Source organism: Homo sapiens, chromosome 6 (genome assembly GCF_000001405.40).
Source record: "Homo sapiens chromosome 6, GRCh38.p14 Primary Assembly".
Lineage (NCBI taxonomy): Eukaryota > Metazoa > Chordata > Mammalia > Primates > Hominidae > Homo > Homo sapiens.
Window position 1 is genome coordinate 160,216,532 of NC_000006.12, and position 22,066 is coordinate 160,238,597.

Here is a 22,066-nt window from a genome sequence, read left to right on the forward strand (position 1 = left end):
GGAGATGAATCTCAGGGGGAAAATTCACCTAAAATAGTTGAAAATTTTCTCTGAGAAATTAGTAGAGGTGAAATAGGGCAAGGAAATTTTGTTTTCATTATAAGTCTTATGATATTTAGCTTTTAAAAATGTATTCATAATATTACTTTTATAAAATATTAACATGTATTTTAAAATCCACAAATGTTAAGACATTTTTACCAGACTAAAAAATGATCATCAATGGTTTTATAATGCTAACATTTTTTATTGAACTCTTCTCAAGGTCTTTTGTAGAAAATACACATTCATGCTTACCCAATCTAAATATGGAAGGACCTCATGATCACTTAAGTTGTATTCCTGATTCTTTTATTTGAGATTCACTTTAAGTCTAACCTAGATAATAATCAATGTATTTTTAAAAATTTCTTCACCTGTGTTACTGAAAGGCCTATCTAAAATTCTTGACATACATTCTGGACAACTTTATATTGTTTTGGGTGTTTTATTTCTTTAAGAAAATAGATGCTCCTCTCCCAACTTTACTGTTTTTCACACTTTTTTCTATTTTGTTTGCCTAGCCCACAGTTCCCCTATGTATTCTGGTTAGATAGCATTGCAAAGAAAAGAATCAAATTTAAAAAAATACAAAGATGGAAAAAAAACCCTCCAGAAAACCAATGTCCAATGTCCTAGGAATGCTGAGAATAAAGTGAGCTGGAAGAATTTGGCAGGATCTGGTCCCATGGGTATTTTTCCACAGTGTACAATAGACTCCACTGGCTGTAGACCTAGGTTGATAGGGCTCAGGGGTAAGTTTGGTTGAGTTGTATGGGCTTTGTGATGAGTGCAGGGATTTCTACTTTTGGTCTTGCTGCCATCAAAGCTAGGTCATGACAGCAGCAACGGTCTCTCTTCTTAGTTCAATGGAATGTCTAGTTTCTGAACTTGGAGGTAAATCATCTTTTCTTTATTTTTTCTTGGTCTGCAATAAGAAATAAAAATGGAGAGGGGAGAAAGAAATTATGAGGAGGCTGAAAACCAAAATAAAGTGGGTAATAAATGAGAGGAACAACAAATGATTATAAACTTTGTTCAGGATTAGTCTTGCAATGTGTTCTGAGTGGTGGTTCTCACAAAGAAAATGGACAGAACTTGTTGATAACTCATGTCGACAGAGTTATTCCTAAAATTATCTTGTTGAATTGGTACTGGCCTAAATAAGTTCCTTTTTTAGGGTGTTCACCTTTCTCTGTAATAGAGAATGTGGGTAAAGTCTAAACTTAATCTTATATCAGTTAAAGATGAAGATTGCAAAATCTTGTTATCATTAGTTATGCAAATAGAATTTGAAAAATTATTTTTTCAAAGTGTATTTACTTTTCAACAGCTTGATAAATGAAGACTGCAATTAAAACATTTGTTCAAATTGCAAGTTTTCTCAATCATCTTGTCTTCGTGAATGCCAGGACATTGCTGATATTCATCGTAGAAATGCTGCTTTCTTCATTTTGTTGTTCCCAGCCATGCCCTTTGGACCTGTTCCTGTTTATAGCAATATTGAATCAGCTGTGGGCTGCTCCCAGCCACCCAGCATCTCACAGAATTTCCCCCACCTGGAGTTGGTTAGTATTGTCTCGTTTTCTGGACCAATCCAATCTGAGACGAGGGATGGCAGAAGCTTACCCAAATCACCCTATGGTTTTGGAATTCTCTAAAGCTCCAGATGGGGAGGTAAAATCAAGTCAGTTGAGCTCCTCTGGTCTCTCTGCCAACAACAATAACAACAACTACAGCAGCAGAAACAACAACAGTAGAAATAGCAGCAATAGAAGCAGCAGCAGGAACAACAAAAGCAAGAACAGCAGCAACAGTAGCAGCAATAGTAGCAACAGCAGCAACAACAGTAATTACAGCAGCAACTGCAATAGCAACAGTAGAAGCATCAGTGACAACAGCAGCAGTAACAACAACAAAAGCAACAGCAGCAACAATAGTAATAGCAACAGCAACAGTAACAGTAGCAGCAACAGATATGGCAACAGTAATACCATCAGCAGCAACAGCAATAGCAACAATAGGATCCTCAGTAGTAACAGCAATAGCAACAGTAGCAACACGAGCAACAGCAGCAGCAACAATAGTATCAGTAATAGCAATAGTAACAGTAACAGCATCAGCAGCAGCAGCAACAGCAACAGCAGCAGCAACAATAACAAAAGCAACAGAAACAGTAACAACAAAACCAACAATAGCAACAACAGCAGCAACAATTTTAGCAATAGCAGCAACAATAGCAACAGAATCAACACCATCACAATTAAGAGCAACAACAGCAGCAACAATAGCCACAGAAATAGCAAAATCAGCAGTAGCAACAACAGAAGTCGCAGCAATAACAGCAGCAGCAGCAACAGAAGTAGCAGTAGTAATAGCAGCAACAGCAGCAGCAGCAGCAGCAGCAATCATTACCATAGTAGCAACAACAGTAGCAGCAACACCAGCAGCAGTAGCAGCAGCAATAGCAACAGTAATAGTAGCAGCAACAGCAATAGCAACAGTAGCAGCATCAGCAACAATAACAGCAACAGAAGCAATAACAGCAGCAGCAACAACAGCAGTACGAACACCAGCAGTAACAACAGCAGCAGCAACATCAGCAACAACAGCAGCAACAACAGTAGCAGCAGTAGGAACAGCAGCAATAATTATAACAGCAGCAGCAACAACAGTAACAACAGTAGAAATAAGTACAATAGCAATAACAACAGTAATAGCAACAGCAAAAACAATAGCAGCAGTAACAATAACAACAGCAATAGCAGCAACAACAGCAACAAGAAAAATGACAATAGCAGCAGCAACAACAGCAGCAGCAGCAACAACATCAGCCACCGGTGAGTGACTACTAACTAAATACCAAGCACTGCGACGGGTGCTTCGTCGCACTGTCCCATTCATGAGCCCAACCCTCTGATGGTGAGACAAATTCATGGGCCACAAAATCTAGCTGCCAGGATTGAAACTTTGGCTTTGTCACTGATTGGCTGTGTGGTTTTGAGCAAGTCCTTTACTTTCTCTGGCCTGTTTTTTTTTTTTTTCCAGTTGTCAGTGGGGTTAATAATAATAACGCCTATTTCATAGGGTTGCTGCAAGGATTCAATGAGGTAATACAGGCATACCTCAGAGATATTGGGGATTCACTTCCAGACTACCACAATAAAGTAAGTTTTACCATAAAGTGAATCATACATTTTTGTTGGTTTCCCAGTTCATATAAAAGTTACGGTTACACTATACTGTAGTCTATTAAATGTGCAATATTATGTCTGAGAGAACAATGTAATTTAAAAATACTTTATTTTTTAAAAATGCTAACAATCATCTGAACCTTCAATTTGTGGTAATCTTGCTGGTGGAGGCTCTTGCCTCTATGTTGATGGCTGCTGACTGAGCAAGACAGTGGTTGCTGAAGGTTGAAGTGGCTGTTGAAACTTCTTAAAACAAGAATATGAAGTTTTCAATGTTGATTGACTCTTCTCTTCATGAAAGATTTCTCTATAGCATGCAATGCTATTTCATAGCATTTTACCCACAGTAGAGCTTCTTTAAAAATTGGAGTCAATCCTCTCAAACCCTGATGCTGTTTTGTTAACTAAGTTTATGTAATATTCTAAATCCTTTGTTGTCATTTCAACAATGTTCACAGGATCTCCACCAGGAGTAGATTCCATCTCAAGAAACCACTTTCTAAGCTCATCTGTAAGAAGCAACTCCTCATCTGTTCAAGTTTTATCACGAGGTTGAAGCAATTCAGTCACATCTTCGGGCTCTACTTCTAATTCTAGTTCTTTTGCTATTTCTATTGTATCTGCAGACACTTTTTATGCTGAAGTCTTGAGCTCTTCAAAGTTATCCATGAGGGCTGTAATCAACTTCTTCAAAACTCCCATTAACGTTCATATTTTGACCTCCTCTAATGATCCACAAATGTTCTTAGTGGCATCTACAATGGTGAAAGATTTCCAGAAGGTTTTTCAATGTACTTTGCCTAGAACAATCAGAGGAATTACCATCTACGGTAGCTATAGCCTTATAAAGTATATTTCTTAAATAATAATACTTGAATGTCAAAACTACTCCTTGATCCATGGGCTGCAGAATGGATGTTGTGTTAGCAGGCATTAAAACAACATTAATCTTTAGGTACATCTCCATCAGAGCTCTTGGGTGACCAGGTGTATGTATTGTCAATGAGCAGTAATCTTTTGAAAGCAATCTTCTTTTCTAAGCAGTAGGTCTAAACGGCGGGCTTAAAATAGTCAATAAACCATGCTGTAAACAGATGTACTGTTATCTGTACACAGGCTTTGCTATTCCATGAGCACAAGCAGAGTAGATTTAGCATAATTCTTAGGGACCCTAGGGTTTTCATGGTAAATGAACACTGGCTTCACCTTCTAGTCACCAGCTGCATTCACCCTTCACAAGAGAGTCAACCTGTCCTTCGAGCTTTGAAACCAGACATTGATTTTTTCCTCGCTCTTCATGAAAGTCCTAAATGGCATCTTCTTCCAATAGAAGGCTGTTGTGTCTATATTGAAAATCTGTTGTTTAGTGTGATCACCTTTATCAGTGATCTTTGTTAGATCTGGATAACTTGCTGCAGCTTCTACATCAGCACTTGCTGCTTCATTTTGCACTTTCAAGTTATGGAGATGGCTTCTTTCCTTAAGCCTTATGAACCAAACTTACTAACTTCGAATTTTTCTTCTGCTACTTCTTCACCTGTCTCAGCCTTCATATAATGGAAAAGAGTTAGGGCTTTGTTCTGGGTTAGGCTTTGGCTTAAGGGAATGTTGTGACCGGTTTGATCTTCTATCCAGACCACTCAAGCTTTCTCCATATCAGCAATAAGGCTGTTTCATTTCTCATTTGTAGCATTTTTATACTTCCTTCAAGAACTTTTCCTGTGCATTCTCGACTTGGCTACCTGGTACAAGAGTCCTCACTTTCAGCTTATGCTGGCTTTCAACATGACTTCCTCATTGAGCTTAATCATTTCTGCCTTTTGCTTTACAGTTGAGACTTGCAACGCTTCCTTTCATTTAACACCTAGAGGGCATTGTAGAGCTATTAATTGACCTAATTTCAATATGGTTGTGTCTTGGGCCATAGGAAGGCCCAAGGAGAGGGAGAGAGATGGGGGAATGCTCAGTGTGTGGAACAGTTAGATCACACGCATTTATCAATTAAGTTTGCTGTTTTACACAGCCATGGTTTGTGGTGCCCTAAAACAATTACAATAGCAGTATCAAAGATCACTGATTGCAGATCACCATCACAGATATGATAATAATGGAAAAGTTTAAAATATTGTGAGAATTACCAAAACATGCCACAGTGACATGAAGTGAGCACCTGCTGTTGGAAAAATGCTGCAAATAAACTTGCTTAATGTAGGGTTGCTGTATACCTTCAATCTGTTAAAAAACACAATATCTGCAAAGCACAATAAAATGAAGTGCAATAAAAGAAGGTGCATGGGAAGGGCATGGAAAGCACTGGGTAGAGCTCTTAGTAAATGTTAGCTATTGTTATCCTCATTTTACAGAAAGGAAAACAGGCTTAAGAAGTGAGATAAGGTATTAGGTATAAGTTCACAGGTTATATTTGTAACTAGGACAGGTTTAGTGCCCTTAGGAACCATAACAATTTAATCAGGAACCAATCGACACTTAATTAGTGTCAGGCATATTTTCTTCTTTAATCCAGTGAGTAGGTACTGTTGTCCCCATTTACAGATGAGGAAACTGAGGCTTTGAGGCATTAAGGCAATAAAGCCACACACATGGGAAATGTGACGGCAGGGCTCAGGCTCTACAGGACTTGCTCTTCACCACACATATTACTGCCTGCCTGGCACTGGCGCTGGCTAGAGAAAGAAACTTCAATTAGGCATGCTGTAGAAGGAACTTCAGCATTTATTCCACAAATAATTGGTAAGCTCCTGCTCTGTGTATGCCACGCACTGTGCTGAGTTCCAGTGATACAGCAGTAAACAGGATTTAGACTGTCTTTGACGGGAGGTGCCCATGTGTGTGGGAAGCTGCATGGGGAGAGGGGTACGGGGTGGGAGGTGGTTGGTTTAGATGAAAGGTCTCCAACTCAAATGTCTGCATGCACCAAGCAGATCATACAATGTACCAAAGACAATAGGAAACAGTGGGGACTGTGGCCTCCTGCAGAGGGCATGCCCTTGAGAAAGCCAAGCGATCATTCAGCTCCTACAAATTGCCAACAAGAGGAAATATCTTCTCAGTGTTACCAAATCTTCTGCTTTTTAAAAACAGATCCTGGAAATCCAGTTTATGTGGAATTTCCCACTTTAAAAAAATACTTTGTAGGCCAAAGAAAGCACTGGAGAACTTGGTGGCCTGCAGGCTGCGAGTGTGTGACCTCCGCTCGGATTCAAAGGCCTCTTCCAACTCTAAGACTCAAGTTCTAGGAAAAGCCTCAGACCACTGTGATTTACCAGCATTTTGCCCAAGTACTGAAAATGTTAAACATGAAGGTTTGGTAAAATGAATAAAAATCAGTTGTTTGTGGTATCAGCAGGCCAAAAGTGGAGTAAGAAGAAAATAAATAAAAATATCTAAACATACTGTATAAACAAACTTGTGGGGAGAGTGTCAGATAGGTTTGTCTTTATCTAGAATTTTTTAATGTACTGTTTGAATGGGTTCATATGGTCCAAAATTCAAAATTACAAAAAGGTAAGCATTGAAGTCTCCCTTCTACCTGTATCTCACAGTCACTCAATTCCATAGACAACCAGTGTTACGGTTCTTGTATATTTTTCCAGAGCTACAAGTATTTATATATATGTCTTTCACTATTTTTACACAAATGATAGAATATATACATTTCTATGTTTTGCTTTTTCCCCCATTAGCAATATATCTTGGAGAACTTTCCTTGTCAGCGTATGTGAAATGGCCTCATTCTTTTTAATGGCTGTATAATTTTACAGAATGGCATATCATTTATTTAACTGGTGTTCTAATTCATGGTCATTTAGGTTGTTTCCAACACTTGTTATAAAAAATTGCCTTAATGACTAGTCCTGTACATATATCACTTTGTACACGTAAACTTCTAGAGGTGTAGAGTTACTAGGTTAAAGGATATACATGTTTATAATTTTTATTTAATTTATTTTTATTTTTTTGAGACAAGAGTATTGCTTTGTCGCCCAGGCTGGAGTGCAGTGGCACGATCTCAGCTCACTGCAACCTCTGCCTCCCAGTTTCAAGCAATTCTCCTGCCTCAGCCTCCCCAGTGGCTGGGATTACAGGCGCATACCACCACACCCAGATAATTTTTTTGTACTTTTTTAGTAGAGACGGGGTTTCACCATGTTACCCAGGCTGATCTCGATCTCCTGACCTTGTGATCCACCCGCCTCAGCATCCCAAAGTGCTGGGATTAGAAGCATGAGCCACTGCACCCAGCCCATGTTTGTAATTTTTATACTACTATTGCATTGTCCATTATAGAGGCATCTAATTCCTACCAGCAACACGGGAGACTACATTTCTCCCCATTCTTCCCCAACATAGTGTGTTACCAAGTAATTTTAGTTTTGACAATCCAAGTAGTTATTAGTGCAGTGTTAATTTGAACTTCTCTTACTATGAAGGAAGTTGAGCATATTTTCATATATTTAAGAGCTGTTTTTATTTCCTTTTCATTGAATTATTTGCTCAAATCTGTTATTTTTTTTTTTCTATTAGGTGGTCGCTTTTATGGAATTGTTAGGAAAATTAGCCCAATGTAGAGTAGTAAATATTTTCTTCAAGTTTATAATTTTATTTTTAGCTTATAGTAGTTGTTTAACGCAGAATATTTTATTTTTATGAAAGCAAACATATTGACCTTTCTTCTATGGATTCTGGATTTTTTGGGTCATATTTAGAAAGACCTTCTCCACGTGAAAGTTTAAAGAAATTCTCGTATAATGTCTTTGTAATTTTACTAATTTTTTTGATGCTTTCAAGTCTTTGATTTAGTTTGAATTTATCTCAGTGTATGGTGTGAAGTATAAAGTCAATTTAATTCTTTCCAAATGGCTATAGGGTTGTCTTAAAACCTTTATAGAACAATTCATTTAGAACTTTCAACTGCCTACCTTTGCATATTTTCGGCTTCCTCGATGGTCTCAGGCAAAGCTTTCCCTTTAGTTTCTGGAAGCAACAGCACCAGACCTCCAGCAACCAAGCCAAGCACGCCTGAAAGCCAAACAGATGAATATCACATTAAGAACTGAAAAACTCAAGGTCTATAATTAGAGTTTCCCTTATTTTTGTTTAAAACTTTTTTTTAGCATTTTTCTATACTTATTTACAGATTCCTTTGCCATCTCTGACTGCTGTATTTTCCATTATAAATATTATACCAGTTCCAAACTCCATTGAATTACTATTCCTAATAGGGAAATGAAATACTTAACATTTTGAGTCAAGGTTATTCTAGGGTAGAGGACATTGCCACCATATTAAGATACTTTGGAGTTAGAAAATAACTCTGCAAAAAATTAACTGTATGAAAAGGAGGACTGTAACCCTTCCAGTTTAAATCACTTAGTAAGGAAAATAAGTCAGAAACTTGGATCATTTCTAGCAAATAAAAGTAATGAATTATGTATCTATTACTATGTAAGAGCACTAAAAAGTATAGCCAGGATTTTAGTTAAAATTCAGGTGTTCATTAAATTCCCGTTATTCCTTTTTTTCTTTGTCTCTAGCTATAATCTTTAATAATAAACACTTACATGTTTTTGTTTCTTTAGATTCTGATAAAAGTTTTGATCTTTTAAAGTTGTATTTATATGTGTTTCACAATAATAGAATACAGAAAATAGGATGTGGGTTCTTTACTAGTTTTGAGGTCTCAAAACACTGCATGCCAGTCTCTATTTTTACACCCTCAGAAAATGGCTGAATTAGAAGCTGCAGGGCACAGATCCCAAGCTCTGAGGGCCTGGGCTCCAACTCTGGCCCCTTACATACTGGTCTCAAGGCCTTGGGAAGTTCTGTAATCTTTCTGATGCTCCAGACATTCCTATATAAATTGGGATAACATACTGTCAAGTCAAGTTTAGCCTACAGCTGCCTCCTTACATATTTTAAGTTTGGCCTAAAGGTTTCTCTATACATTGTGAACTATAATCTAGATGGAATGGTAAACACACTATAGCCTACTCTTGTGCCAATTAAAACCACCTTTGCAAAATTATGACTGAGACAGTGAAAGAGATCTAACTTAATCGACTTCATCTTGCTTCTAACCTCCAAGCTGTCCTTGTCATTCTTGGGTATAGGCTGAACTAACTTTGGGAGAAACTTAGTTTATAGATTAAAACAAAGATGACCACAGCGAAAGGAGACCTCTTTGTTGCCTGGGGACTAGGTTGCCTTTGTAGGACTAACATTAGCCACAACATAAGAAATTATGGTTTAGGAGTCATGCAGTTGGAGTCTACAAGATTCTGACCCTTTCTAAACTGCTGCTAAAATCAGTGCTTGAGGCATTTTGCAGACCCTGCACTCAGTGGATCAGCTGACACCACCCAAATTGATAAACTGGCTTATCTGGTCTTGTGGCCCCCAGCAAGGACTGACTCAGCGCAAGACAGCTTTGACTCCCTATGATTTCACCCCTGACCAATCAGCACTGCCGGCTCACTGGCTTCCCCCACCCACAAAGTTATGCTTAAAAACTTTGCTCCCCAAATGCTCAGGAGACTGATTTGAGTAATAATAAAACTCCAGTCTCCCACACAGCCGGCTCTGTGTGAATTACTCATTCTCTATTGCAATTCCCCTGTCTGGAGAAATTGACTGTCTAGGCAGCAGGCAAGGTGAACCCCTTGGGTGGTTACAAAATCACCAAGTTTTAGCCAGTCAAATGCGGCCAACTGTTCAAACCATGTTCAAATAAGGCAAACGCTAAGCTGTAACCAATCCCATTATTTGTGTACCTCACTTCCGATTTGTGTACGTGATTTTCTTTTTCTGTCCATAAATCTTCTTTCACCCTGTGGTTGTGTTGGAATCTCGGAGCCTACTCTGGCTCAGGAGGCTGCCTGATTCTCGAATCATTCTTTGCTTAATTAAACTCTTAAAAAAATTTAATTCAGCAGAAGTTTTTCTTTAACAATACCACCTCACAAATGTAAACTAAAAATAAAATTCGGAGATCCCCAACTGATTGAATTGAACTGAAAAACTTCAAGGTTTTTCACCCCCACCCCTTCCCATTCAAGCCCTGATGGAAAGGGGTGGGGGTCAGACATATCTCATTATACCCTCTCCCTTTTGGAGTTCAAGCACAACTCACCAGTGTTAACATTAAAACATATCTTAAGACTGACACAACAGACTCTTTGTAGCAATAAGATAGCAAATTCCAGCCTGACCATAGAATAATATCACATGACAGACAAAAAAAATTAAAATATTTTACCCCAAAATATATTTCTTTGCCCTATTTTGAAATGGCCTGGCAAAGCCATCTTTTGTGGAGAGAATTTGCATCTGTAAAGAATCTCTATTAACATAACTAGATCTTTCCCTTTCCAGACCCTCCCAATCCTGAAGAGATTAACTGAGAGTCTAGCACCTTTTAAAGATCTGTATAGGAAACATTTGCCATTGATTTTCTCAAAGGGTACCACCTATGAGACTTCATCTACATAATAAGAGCCTTGGTTTCCATAACCACTTATCTTAACTCAGGCACTCTTTTCTATTGATTCCGGACCTTCAGATAATAACTTAACTCTTTCAAGCAATTGCCAATCAGAAAATCTTTGAATCCACCTATGACCTGGAAGCCCCTGCTTTGTGTTGTCTTGCTTTTCTGGACCAAACTAATGGATACCTCGCATGTATTGATGGATGGCTTTTGTCTGCTTAATACGTATAAAACCAAGCTGTAATCCAACTACCTTGGACACATGTTCTCAGGACCTCTTGAGACTGTGCCTCAGGCAAGTCACTCATATTTGGTCAGAATGTGGTCACTCATATTTGGCTCAGAATAAACTCTTTAAATATTTTACAGAATTTAGCTTTTTTCCTCGACATGTCAGAGGCATTTGAAACACAACAACTTTCTCTTGAATAGGGACTGGGTAAAATAAGGCTGAGACTTACAGGATTGCATTCCCAGACAGTTAGCACTCTAAGTCACAGGATGAGATAGGAGGTCAGCACAAGATACAGCTCATAAAGACCTTGCTGGTCAAACAGGCTGCAGTAAAGCCAGCTATAACCCACCAAAACCAAGATGGCAATGAGAGGGACCTCTGGTCGTCTTCATTGCTACACTCCCACCAGTACTGTGACAGTTTACAAATGCCATGGCAACATCAGGAAGTTACCCTATATGGTCAAAAAACAGGAAACTCATTAATAACCCACCTTTTGTTTAGCATATAATCAAGAAATAACTATAAAAATGGGCAACTAGCAGCCCTCAGGGCTGCTCTGCCTGTGGAGTAGCCATTCTTTATTCCTTGACTTCCTTAATAAAGTTGCTTTCACATTATTCTATGGATTTGCCCTGAATTCTTTCATGTGTGAGATCCAAGAACCCTCTCTTGGGGTCTGGATCGGACACCTTTCCAATAACATCTTTCTGGTGAACCCTGAAGGGAGGATACTGAGGAGACCTCCCCTCCGCCAGCGCAAAGGAAACAGACTGCAGCACTGATTAATTAACTTTGGGTAAGTGCTGGCGTACCCAGGTAAAGGACGTGATTGGGTTAGAGGCCCAATTTAGGGGAGTTAGAGTCTCTTCTAAGACAGAGAGGGTTAAAAGTCCCTCTTAATAAAAGGCAAAGACACTTGACTGAACTTGGGTTTGAGGACTAACTTAGAAAGGCTAGAGTCTTTCCTAAGACTGAGGGGATTAGAGGTCCCTCTCAGTAAAGTCCCCCTCAGCTAAGAACTAGTTTGGCACTATGGGATGTTAACTGCTATTTTCTTTGAATTAATTTCCCTTGCACTCTGCTGATGTCTATGGGTGACAGGATTAGGCATATACAGGATCATAGAAACATGGATAGTAATTGTCAGGCCTCTGAGCCCAAGCTAAGCCATCATATCCCCTGTGGCCTGCACGTATATATCCAGATGGCCTGAAGTAACTGAAGAATCACAAAAGAAGTGAAAATGGCCTGTTCCTGACTTAACTGATGACATTACCTTGTGAAATTCCTTCTCCTGGCTCGTCCTGGCTCAAAAGCTCCCCCACTGAGCACCTTGTGTCCCCCACCCCTGCCCACCAGAGAACAACCCCCTTTGACTGTAATTTTCCATTACCTACCCAAATCCTATAAAACGGCCCCACCCCTATCTCCCTTCGATGACTGTCTTTTTGGACTCAGACCTCCTGCACCCAGGTGAAATAAACAGCCTCGTTGCTCACACAAAGCCTGTTTGGTGGTCTCTTCACATGGACACCAGTGAAATTTGGTTCCGTGACTCGGATCAGGGGACCTCTCTTGGGAGATCAATCCCCTGTCCTCCTGCTCTTTGCTCTGTGAGAAAGATCCACCTATGACCTCTGGTCCTCAGACTAACCAGCCCAAGGAACATCTCACCAATTTTAAATCTGGTAAGTGGCCTCTCTTCACTCTCTTCTCCAACCTCTCTCACTATCCCTCAACCTCTTTCTTCTTTCAATCTTGGCACCACACTTCAATCTCTCCCTTCTCTTAATTTCAGTTCCTTTCCTTTTCTCGTAGAGACAGAGATGATGCATTTTATCTGTGGACCTGAAGCTCCAGCACCAGTCACGGACTTGGGTTTAATCATGTGGGGATGCCTGCCTGATTATTTACCCACATTTCATTGGTGTCTGATCACCACGGGGATGCTTGCCTTGGTCATTCACCCACATTCCTTGGTGGCAAGTGAATTGCGGGGGCGCCTGCTTTGGCTGCTCACCCACATTGCAGCCCAGGGCTGCTCACCCAACCCCTTCTCTCCATGTACCCACCCCTTCTCCACTTTCCTGGGGGGCAAGCACCTCCCACCCCTTTTACACTTTTCTGGGGGGCAAGCACCCCCCACTCCTTCTCTCTGTGTCTCTACTCTCTCTTTTCTCTGGGCTTGCCTCCTTCATTATGGACAACCTTCCACCTTCCATTCCTCCTTCTTCTCCCTTAGCCTGCATTCTCAAAAACTTAAAACCTCTTCAACTCTCAGCTGACCTAAAATCTAAGCATCTTATTTTCTTCTGCAACACTGCTTGACCCCAATACAAACTCGACAGTGGTTCCAAATAGCCAGAAAATGGCACTTTTGATTTTTCCATCCTACAAAATCTAGATAATTCTTGTCGTAAAATGGGCAAACGGTCTGAGGTCCCTGATATCCAGGCATTCTTTTACACATTGGTCCCTCCCTAGTCTCTGTTCCCAATGCAACTCATCCCAAATCTTGCTTCTTTCCCTCCTGCCTGTTCTCTCAGTCCCAACCCTAATCATCACTGGGTCTTTCCAATCTTCCTTTTCTACAGACTCATCTGACCTGTCCCCTCCTCACCAGGCTGCTCCTTGCCAGGCCGAGCTAGGTCCCAATTCTTCCTCAGCCTCTATTCCCTGACCCTATAATTCTTTTTTCACCTCCCCTCCTCACACCCGGTCTGGTTTACAGTTTCGTTCCACAACTAGCCCTCCCCCACCTGCCCAGCAATTTCCTCTTAAAAAGGTGGCTGGAGCTAAAGGCGTAGTCAAGGTTAATGTTCCTTTTTCTTTATCTGACCTCTCCCAAATCAGTTAGCATTTAGGCTCTTTTTCATCAAATATAAAAACCCAGCCCGGTCCATGGCCCTTTTGGCAGCAACCCTGAGACTGTTTACAGCCCTAGACCCTGAAGGGTCAGAAGGCCATCTCATTCTAAATATGCATTTTATTACCCAGTCAGCTCCTGACATTAGAATAAAGCTCCAAAAATTAAATTCCAGCCCTCAAACCCCACAACAGGACTTAATTAACCTTGCCTTCAAGGTGTACAATAATAGAGTAGAGGCAGCCAAGTAGCAATGTATTTCTGAATTGCAATTCCTTGCCTCCACTGTGAGACAAACCCCAGACACATCTCCAGCACACAAGAACTCCAAATGCCTGAACCGCAGCTGCCAGGGGTTCCTCCAGAACCTCCTCCCCCAGGAGCTTGCTACAAGTGCCAGCAATCTGGCCTCTGGGCCAAGGAATGCCTGCAGCCTGGGCTTCCTCCTAGCCATGTCCCATCTGTGCAGGACCCCACTGGAAATTGGACTGTCCAACTTGCCCCGCAGCCAGTCCTAGGGCCCCTAAAGCTCTAGCCCAAGGCTCTCTGACTGACTCCTCCCCAGATCTGCTCAGCTTAGCAGCTGAAGACTGATGCTGACCAATCACCTCGGAAGCCCCCTGGACCATGATGGACACTGAGCTTTGGGTAACTCTTATGGTGGAGGGTAAGTCCGTCCCCTTCTTAATCAATACGGAGGCTACCCACTCCACATTACCTTCTTTCCAAGGGCCTATTTCCCTTGCCTCCATAACTGTTGTGGGTATTGATGGCCCAGCTTCAAAACCCCTTAAAATTCCCCCACTCTGGTGCCAACTTGGACAACATTCTTTTATGCACTCTTTTTTCAGTTATCCCCACCTGCCCAGTTCCCTTATTAGGCCAAGATATTTTAACCAAATTATCTGCTTCCCTGACTATTCCTGGACTACAGCCACATCTCATTGCCGTCCTTCTTCCCAACCCAAAGCCTCCTTTGCGTCTTCCTCTTGTATCCCCCAACCTTAACCCACAAATATGGAATACCTCTACTCCCTCCCTGGCAACCGATCACATGCCCATTACTATCCCATTAAAATCTAATCACCCTTACCCTACTCAGCGCCAATATCTCATCCTGCAGCATGCTTTAAAAGGATTAAAGCCTGTTATCACTCACCTGCTACAGCATGGGCTTCTAAAACCTATAAATTCTGCTTACAATACCCCCATCTTACCTGTCCTAAAACCAGACAAGCCTTACAGGTTAGTTCAGGATCTGCGCCTTATCAACCAAATTGTTTTGCCTATCCACCCCGAGGTGCCAAACCCATATACTCTCCTATCCTTAATACCTCCCTCCACAACCCATTATTCTGTTCTAGATAAACCTAGCTGACCCCATAAATCCTAAATCCTTTCCCCACTCCCCTTTCCATTCCTTAAAAAACAGCCCTAAAAGCTGCTCCTATGCTGGCTCTCCGTAACTCTTCACTCCCTTTTCATTACATACAGCTGAAGTGCAGGGCTGTGTGGTCGGAATTCTTATACAAGGACCAGGACTGCGCCCTGTAGCCCTTTTATCCAAACAACTTGACCTTACTGTTTTAGCCTAGCCCTCATGTCTGTGTGTGGTGGCTACCACTGTGTTAATGCTTTTAGAGGCCCTCAAAATCCCAAACTATGCTCAGCTCACTCTCTACAGTTCTCATAATTTCCAAAATCTATTTTCTTCCTCTCACCTGGCTCCTTCAGCTATACTCACTCTTAGTTGAGTCTCCCACAATTACCATTGTTCCTGGCCTGGACTTCAATCTGGCCTCCCACATTATTCCTGATACCACACCTGACCCCCATGACTGTATCTCTCTGATCCACCTGACATTCACCCCATTTCCCCATATTTCCTTCTTTCCTGTTCCTCACCCTGATCACACTTGGTTTATCAATGGCAGTTCCACCAGGCTTAATCGCCACACACCAGCAAAGGCAGGCTATGCTATAGTATCTTCCACATCTATCATTGAGGCTACCGCTCTGCCCCCCACTATCTCTCAGCAAGCTGAACTCATTGCCTGAACTTGGGCCCTCACTCTTGCAAAGGGACTACAAATCAATATTAATACTGACTCTAAATATGCCTTCCATATCCTGCACCACCATATGGGCAGAAAGAAATTTCTCACTATGCAAGGGTCCTCCATCATTAATGCCTCTTTAAAAAAAAAACATTTCTCAAAGCTGCTTTACTTCCAAAGGAAGCTGGAGTCATTCACTGCAAAGGCCATCAAAAGGCACCAGATCCCATCGCTCAGGACAATGCTTATGCTCATAAGGTAGCTAAAAAAGCAGCCATCAAAAGGCATCAGATCCCATCACTCAGGACAATGCTTATGCTGATAAGGTAGCTAAAAAAGCAGCTAGCATTCCAACTTCTATCCCTCACGGCAGTTTTTCTCCTTCTCATCTGACCACTCCCACCTACTCCCCACTGAAACTTCCACATATTAATCTTTTCCCACGTAAGGCAAATGGTTCTTTGACCAAGGATCTCCTTCCAGCCTCACAGGCCCATTCTATTCTGTCATCATTTCGTAGTCTCTTCCATGTAGGTTACAAGCCACTAGCCCATCTCTTAGAACCTCTCATTTCCTTTCCATCGTGGAAATCTATCCTCAAGGAAATCACTTCTCAGTGTTCCATCTGCTATTCCACTACTCCCCAGGAATTTCTCAGGCCCCCTCCCTTCTCTACACATCAAGCTCGGGGATTTGCCCTGCCCAGGACTGGCAAATTGACTTTACTCACATGCCCCGAGTCAGGAAACTAAAATACCTCTTGGTCTGGGTAGACACTTTCACTGGATGGGTAGAGGCCTTTTCCACAGGGTCTGAGAAGGCCACCATGGTCATTTCTTCCCTTCTGTCAGACATAATTCCTCGTTTTGGCCTTCCCACCTCTATACAGTCTGATAACGGACCAGCCTTTATTAGTCAAATCACCCAAGCAGTTTCTCAGGCTCTTGGTATTCAGTGGAACCTTCATACCCCTTATCATCCTCAATCTTCAGGAAAGGTAAAATGGACTAATGGTCTTTTAAAAACACACCTCACGAAGCTCAGCCACCAACTTTAAAAAAAGGACTCTGTCAAGAATAGAGCCCAAAAACTCACCAACCAAACAAGTAATTACACTGAACCCCCTTGGACACTCTCTAATTGGATGTCCTGGGTCCTCCCAATTCTTAGTCCTTTAATACCTATTTTTCTCCTTCTTTTATTTGGACCTTGTGTCTTCTGTTTAGTTTCTCAATTCATACAAAAATGCATCCAGGCCATCACCAATCATTCTATATGACAAATGCGCCTTCTAACAACCTTACCGCAAAATCTTCCTTCAGCTTAATCTCTCCCACTCTAGGTTCCCACGCTGCCCCTAATTCCACTCGAACCAGCCCTGAGAAACATCACTCATCATCTCTCCATACCACCCCCCAAAATTTTCACCACCCCAAAACTTTACCAATATTTTGTTTTTTGTTATTTTTCTTATTAATATAAGGAGACAGGAATGTCAGGCCTCTGAGCCCAAGCTAAGCCATCATATCCCCTGTGACCTGCACGTATACATCCAGATGGCCTGAAGTAACTGAAGAATCACAAAAGAATTGAAAATGGCCTGTTCCTGCCTTAACTGATGATATTACCTTGTGAAATTCCTTCTCCTGGCTCATCCTGGCTGAAAAGCTCCCCCACTGAGCACATTGTGACCCCCGCCCCTGCCTGCCGAGAACTACCCACTTTGACTGTAATTTTCCTTTACCTACCCACATCCTATAAAACGGCCCCACCCTATCTCCTTTCACTGACTCTCTTTTCGGACTCAGCCTGCCTGCACCCAGGTGAAATAAACAGCCTTGTTACTCACACAAAGCCTGTTTGGTGGGCTCTTCACACGGACACGAGTGAAAGTTATTTCTTCCTAAGAGGGACGCTTGAGAGCGGATAGGACTGCTGGAAAAGATCCCTTCGCTACCGACAAGTGGTCACCTGAACAGTGTTACTGTAATGGGTGGGTCTTTCTCTGGCCTCCCTGAGCACCTCTCCTTCCCCACCCTGCCACAGGAGGAGCTGCCCCTGCCGCCCCACCAGACAATGCTTTTCTCCCTTTCTCTCCTTTCTCTTTTCTATTTTTTCTGTTACTCAGGGTAACTGTCTGCTCTTTCATTGTGCCCAGAGACCACATGTTGAAAAATGTCCTTGGGAGCTTGAACTTGTAACCACATGGCAGTTCTTTCTCTTGGTTTCCACCATCCAACAGATAGGAATTTGGGGGTTCATGTCATATTTATCCCTAAAAATTATCTTGAACAGTTAAAAGACTTTGCAAGCTCAGAATTGGCTGCTCTAAAATCCTTCTGGGAAGAACAACGGAAACCAGCCAATGCTGTAGCTCAATAGCTAAGGCTTCACCATTTTACAATGGTGGCCCAGGGTTCAATCCTGGCTTAGGGAATGAATCCTTTCTGGTTTAAAATCTGTATAACCTTTACCACTGGTTAATTCTCTTCCTCTCCACAAACCATCTTGAACTTTCCTTTCTCTGAGCAAAAAATATCGGCTGTTTGGCATGGCTAAAGTCAGGTAATAAGATATTTAAAAGGATTTGAGTGCTATGGTTAAAAGTCAGTTTGTTCAAGCTCTAACAGCCTGGAACTCCTTGGGAAAAACAGAGGAGACATCACAGACCTCCTTTTGGTAAAACCTCTGTTTTCCTCATAAAGCCCAAGGAATTAAAGTGGATAGATCCATCTCAAAATCTAAGGGTCTGTTCTATTTTTCATTGCATTATCTGATGTTTTTGACTTGGAGGGTATCAGAAATTACTATACATTATGAGAGAGCTTTGATGTGTGACTAGGTAGGAAATATAGTTTCAGGGATAGCTAATGGCAGTTATGGGGAGATCCTCAGCTCTTTGCAAGTTTACATCAGAAAAGCATGCTCTTGGCCACCTAGAAGTTATGAAAATGTCCCCATTCCCCACTGACAGATAAGATTCCTATAGGAAATGGGCTGATTTCCTCTTTTTGGGTTAGAGGATATGGTATAAAAATGAGACCCTTAATTTCAGGGAATCTGAAATTCAGGGTTAAAGGATTGTTTAAAGTTAAATAAGATAAAGCTGAAGGTTTCAACAAGTTGTGGAGGATTTGTGAAAAATTAATCATGTAAAAGAAATTCTGTGTGTGAATATATTGGCTAAAGTTAAAGGGGTATCATTCAGTTTTTCCATAAATTGAACATTAGGATAAAAGCACAATAGGTTTTTCTTACAGCACTGATCTGCTCTTTAATAAAAAGTTTGTAAAGAGTTATAAAAGGTTTATGAGAATCCTACCTTATGGTCAAACATTAAAATTGGGTAGATATGTCTATGAAGGTTTAACATTAATAGTACACTAATGTAAAAGTGAAATTTGACTTATGTAGTATAAAAGTCATACAGGAAGCATTGTTGAACATAAAATGGTGTTTGGCTGTCTTTGGGCTCTATTTGTATAAATACATTAATGGTATGTGTTCCAAAATTATATGAAACTCCTATAATTCTGATAGGACTTAGTGTACATTATCAGTAATAATTATAATTGCTATGTTAAATTAATGTGTGCTACAGAAGTAACATATTTATTTGTCAATTGTGTTTTTGACTGTGGCTGCCCTAAGACTTTACCATCCACAGACAATTGTTGTTTTGTGTTGATCCTCTTCAAAAGGTGGTTTTATAATCAACTATAGGACTTTAACAGGTATTCTTGAATGCAGGTTTCTGATAACTTTGGAGATTGTGACATTAGAATAGAGGAAAATACTTTCAGGACTCTCAGGGAGAGGTGAAATGTTCATGTATATCAAACAAAGCAGGAGTTAACTGCATGGACTGAATAAAAGACCGAAGTATTCTTTTTTAATTTTTTGCTTAAAACGTTGCTGATCCTTTGTTTTGTTTTTCAGAGTCAAGGAAACTTTTCTTTTGAGCTATTAGTATTTACAGCTTGTAGCAATTAAGTCAAGTATATTCCTGTGAAAAACTTTGGAGCACATTTGTTTCTCTCTACCTGATTTCTCCAGAATTTGAAAATTATTTGTGAGTACTCTTAACTTATGGCAATATAGTTATTTGCATAAGTGCAATAAGAATCTGTTTTCTTTTGCAACAGGACACAGTTGGAGAAACTGGTTATTTTTACCAAGGCTTTGACTGGAATGTTGTGCTTTCCTTTAAGAAATCAAACTTAACTGGTAGAGCCAATAAAAGTCCCCTGGGAAAACTGACATCATACCTTGTCTACATAGTCCCTGTACAGGGTTCCTGACCTGTGGTAAGTAAAAAATGTCACTTTCTGACAGACCCAGGAGCCTGAGTTACCTAGGGACCTCAAGAGGAGAGGCATTTACTCAACTTATTGGTATTAGAGGGTACAAACCCATGGCTGGGCTTGGCTTTGAAAAAAAAAGTCTTATCTGAGATTCCTTTTATGGAACAAAGTTTTGTCAAAGCCAATTTAAAAAGCCTATGTGAAAAATAATTATTTTTGCTGCACTTTATACAAATAATCAGGCCAAGTACAATAAAGCAAATCAGTCCTACCAAGATTTGTCTTTAGCAAAAATGGGAAACTGGAGAGAGAAAAATTATGTTTCAAGAACAATGGTATACCTGTTATTATATTCTAGTCTCATCAGTTGTTTTAAGCTTTTCTTCCTGCACTTTAGACTGACCCTGCTCATTCCAACGAGTGATTCCTGCAGTTCAGAAGAAACAAGAGGGATGGGTAATATAAAAATCTGGATCAATATTCTAATTCTGGGCTCATTGGAATCAGGTAGTGACCCCATATCAGCATGGTTTCAACAATTGCCAGGTTCATGGAAAGCCTTCTAATTTAGTTTGCTTGGGATAATTTTGCTTATTTTTCTTTACTGTTGTGGAACATATTGCCGTTTTACTCTTTGTGTAGGAATACACAAAGGGTTGTGCAGGATAAGCTTACCAAATGTTTTCTTAAATTAAACTCTTATTAATCTTTCAGATATCACTTTTTGTCAGAACTCAGAGTTATGAATGGCCCTCACCATACTGATGCTTTCTGACTGAGCTCCTCTCTACCCTGAATACAAGAGACCCTAATACTTAATCAGAAATATCATCACCCTTAATCAGAATGAAAAAGTTACAGAAGATGGATCTTTGTCTCTCTGCAACCATTAAGATTAAGAGTTCTCTTACAAAAGGGAATGGGGAAATCTCAGAGGTGTTTGAACCAGAGAAACTTTATCTTGAAGAGGGGCTGGGTAAAATAAGGCTGAGACTTACAGGGCTGCATTCCCAGACAGTTAGGCATTCTAAGTCACAGGATGAGATAGGAAGTTGGCACAAGATACAGGTCATAAAGACCTTGCTGATCAAACAGGCTGCAATAAAGAAGCTGGCTACAACCCACCAAAACCAAGATGGCAATGAGAGTGACCTCTGGTTGTCCTCACTGCTACACTCCCACCAGTGCCATGACAGTTTACAAATGCCATGGCAACATCAGGAAGTTACCTTATATGGTCTAAAAACGGGGAACTCATAAATAATCTACACTTTGTTTAGCATATAATTAAGAAATAACCATAAAAATGGGCAACAAGCAGCCCTCAGGGCTGCCCTGCCTATGGAGCAGCCATTCTTTATTTGTTTACTTTCTTAATAAACTTGCTTTCACATCACTCTGTGAACTCGCCCTGAATTCCTTCTTGTGTGAGATCCAAGAACCCTCTCTTGGGGTCTGGATTGGGACCCCTTTCTGGTAACAGAGACAGGCTTGTTATGAGGCTGAAATGAATTAATATTGTCAAAGGCTTAGAATAGTGCCTGGCACATGGTATATACAGTGGAAGTGCCTATTAAATAATTAACCTCTCAAAATGTCTCCAAGCCTCCCAAGATTCACTTGGTTATTGTATTGTAAGTAATGCAAACAAGAAACACATTCAGCTGGCATCTGAATCTCTGAAGTGAGTGAATCATGATGAATACAACTGATTAATAAAATTACCATTCGTTTGGCATTTTATATTTGCAAAGACAGGCCTAGTTAACCAGAATAATCCTTGTTGATTTTTCCAGTGCTCTTTCAGCCAGGATTTTCCAGTGTGTTGACTTTCAGTCTTCTTTGATTATCGTTTTATGGC

The 22,066-nt window shown here is 40.7% G+C and overlaps 1 protein-coding gene across 1 annotated transcript in view, besides 1 other annotated feature; it reads right to left on the minus strand.

The window, feature by feature from the left end:
* Positions 1–223: 223 nt before the first annotated feature.
* SLC22A2 (solute carrier family 22 member 2) overlaps positions 224–22,066 on the minus strand; it is a 42,067-nt gene continuing 20,224 nt past the window's right edge. The window contains exons 10-11 of the mRNA NM_003058.4: positions 8,174–8,273; positions 224–967 (exon numbers count right to left, since the gene is read on the minus strand). Coding sequence (NP_003049.2) covers positions 901–967; positions 8,174–8,273 — 167 coding nt within the window. The 3' untranslated portion in view covers positions 224–900. The remainder of the gene's footprint in view (positions 968–8,173; positions 8,274–22,066) is intronic.
* Positions 10,255–11,183: an enhancer, noted in NCBI's record as "OCT4-NANOG hESC enhancer chr6:160647818-160648746 (GRCh37/hg19 assembly coordinates)". NCBI's record gives its function as "activates a minimal SCP1, AML or CMV promoter by ChIP-STARR-seq in primed H9 embryonic stem cells {active_cell/tissue: H9 hESC(primed)}" and the evidence as "EXISTENCE:reporter gene assay evidence [ECO:0000049][PMID:30033119]".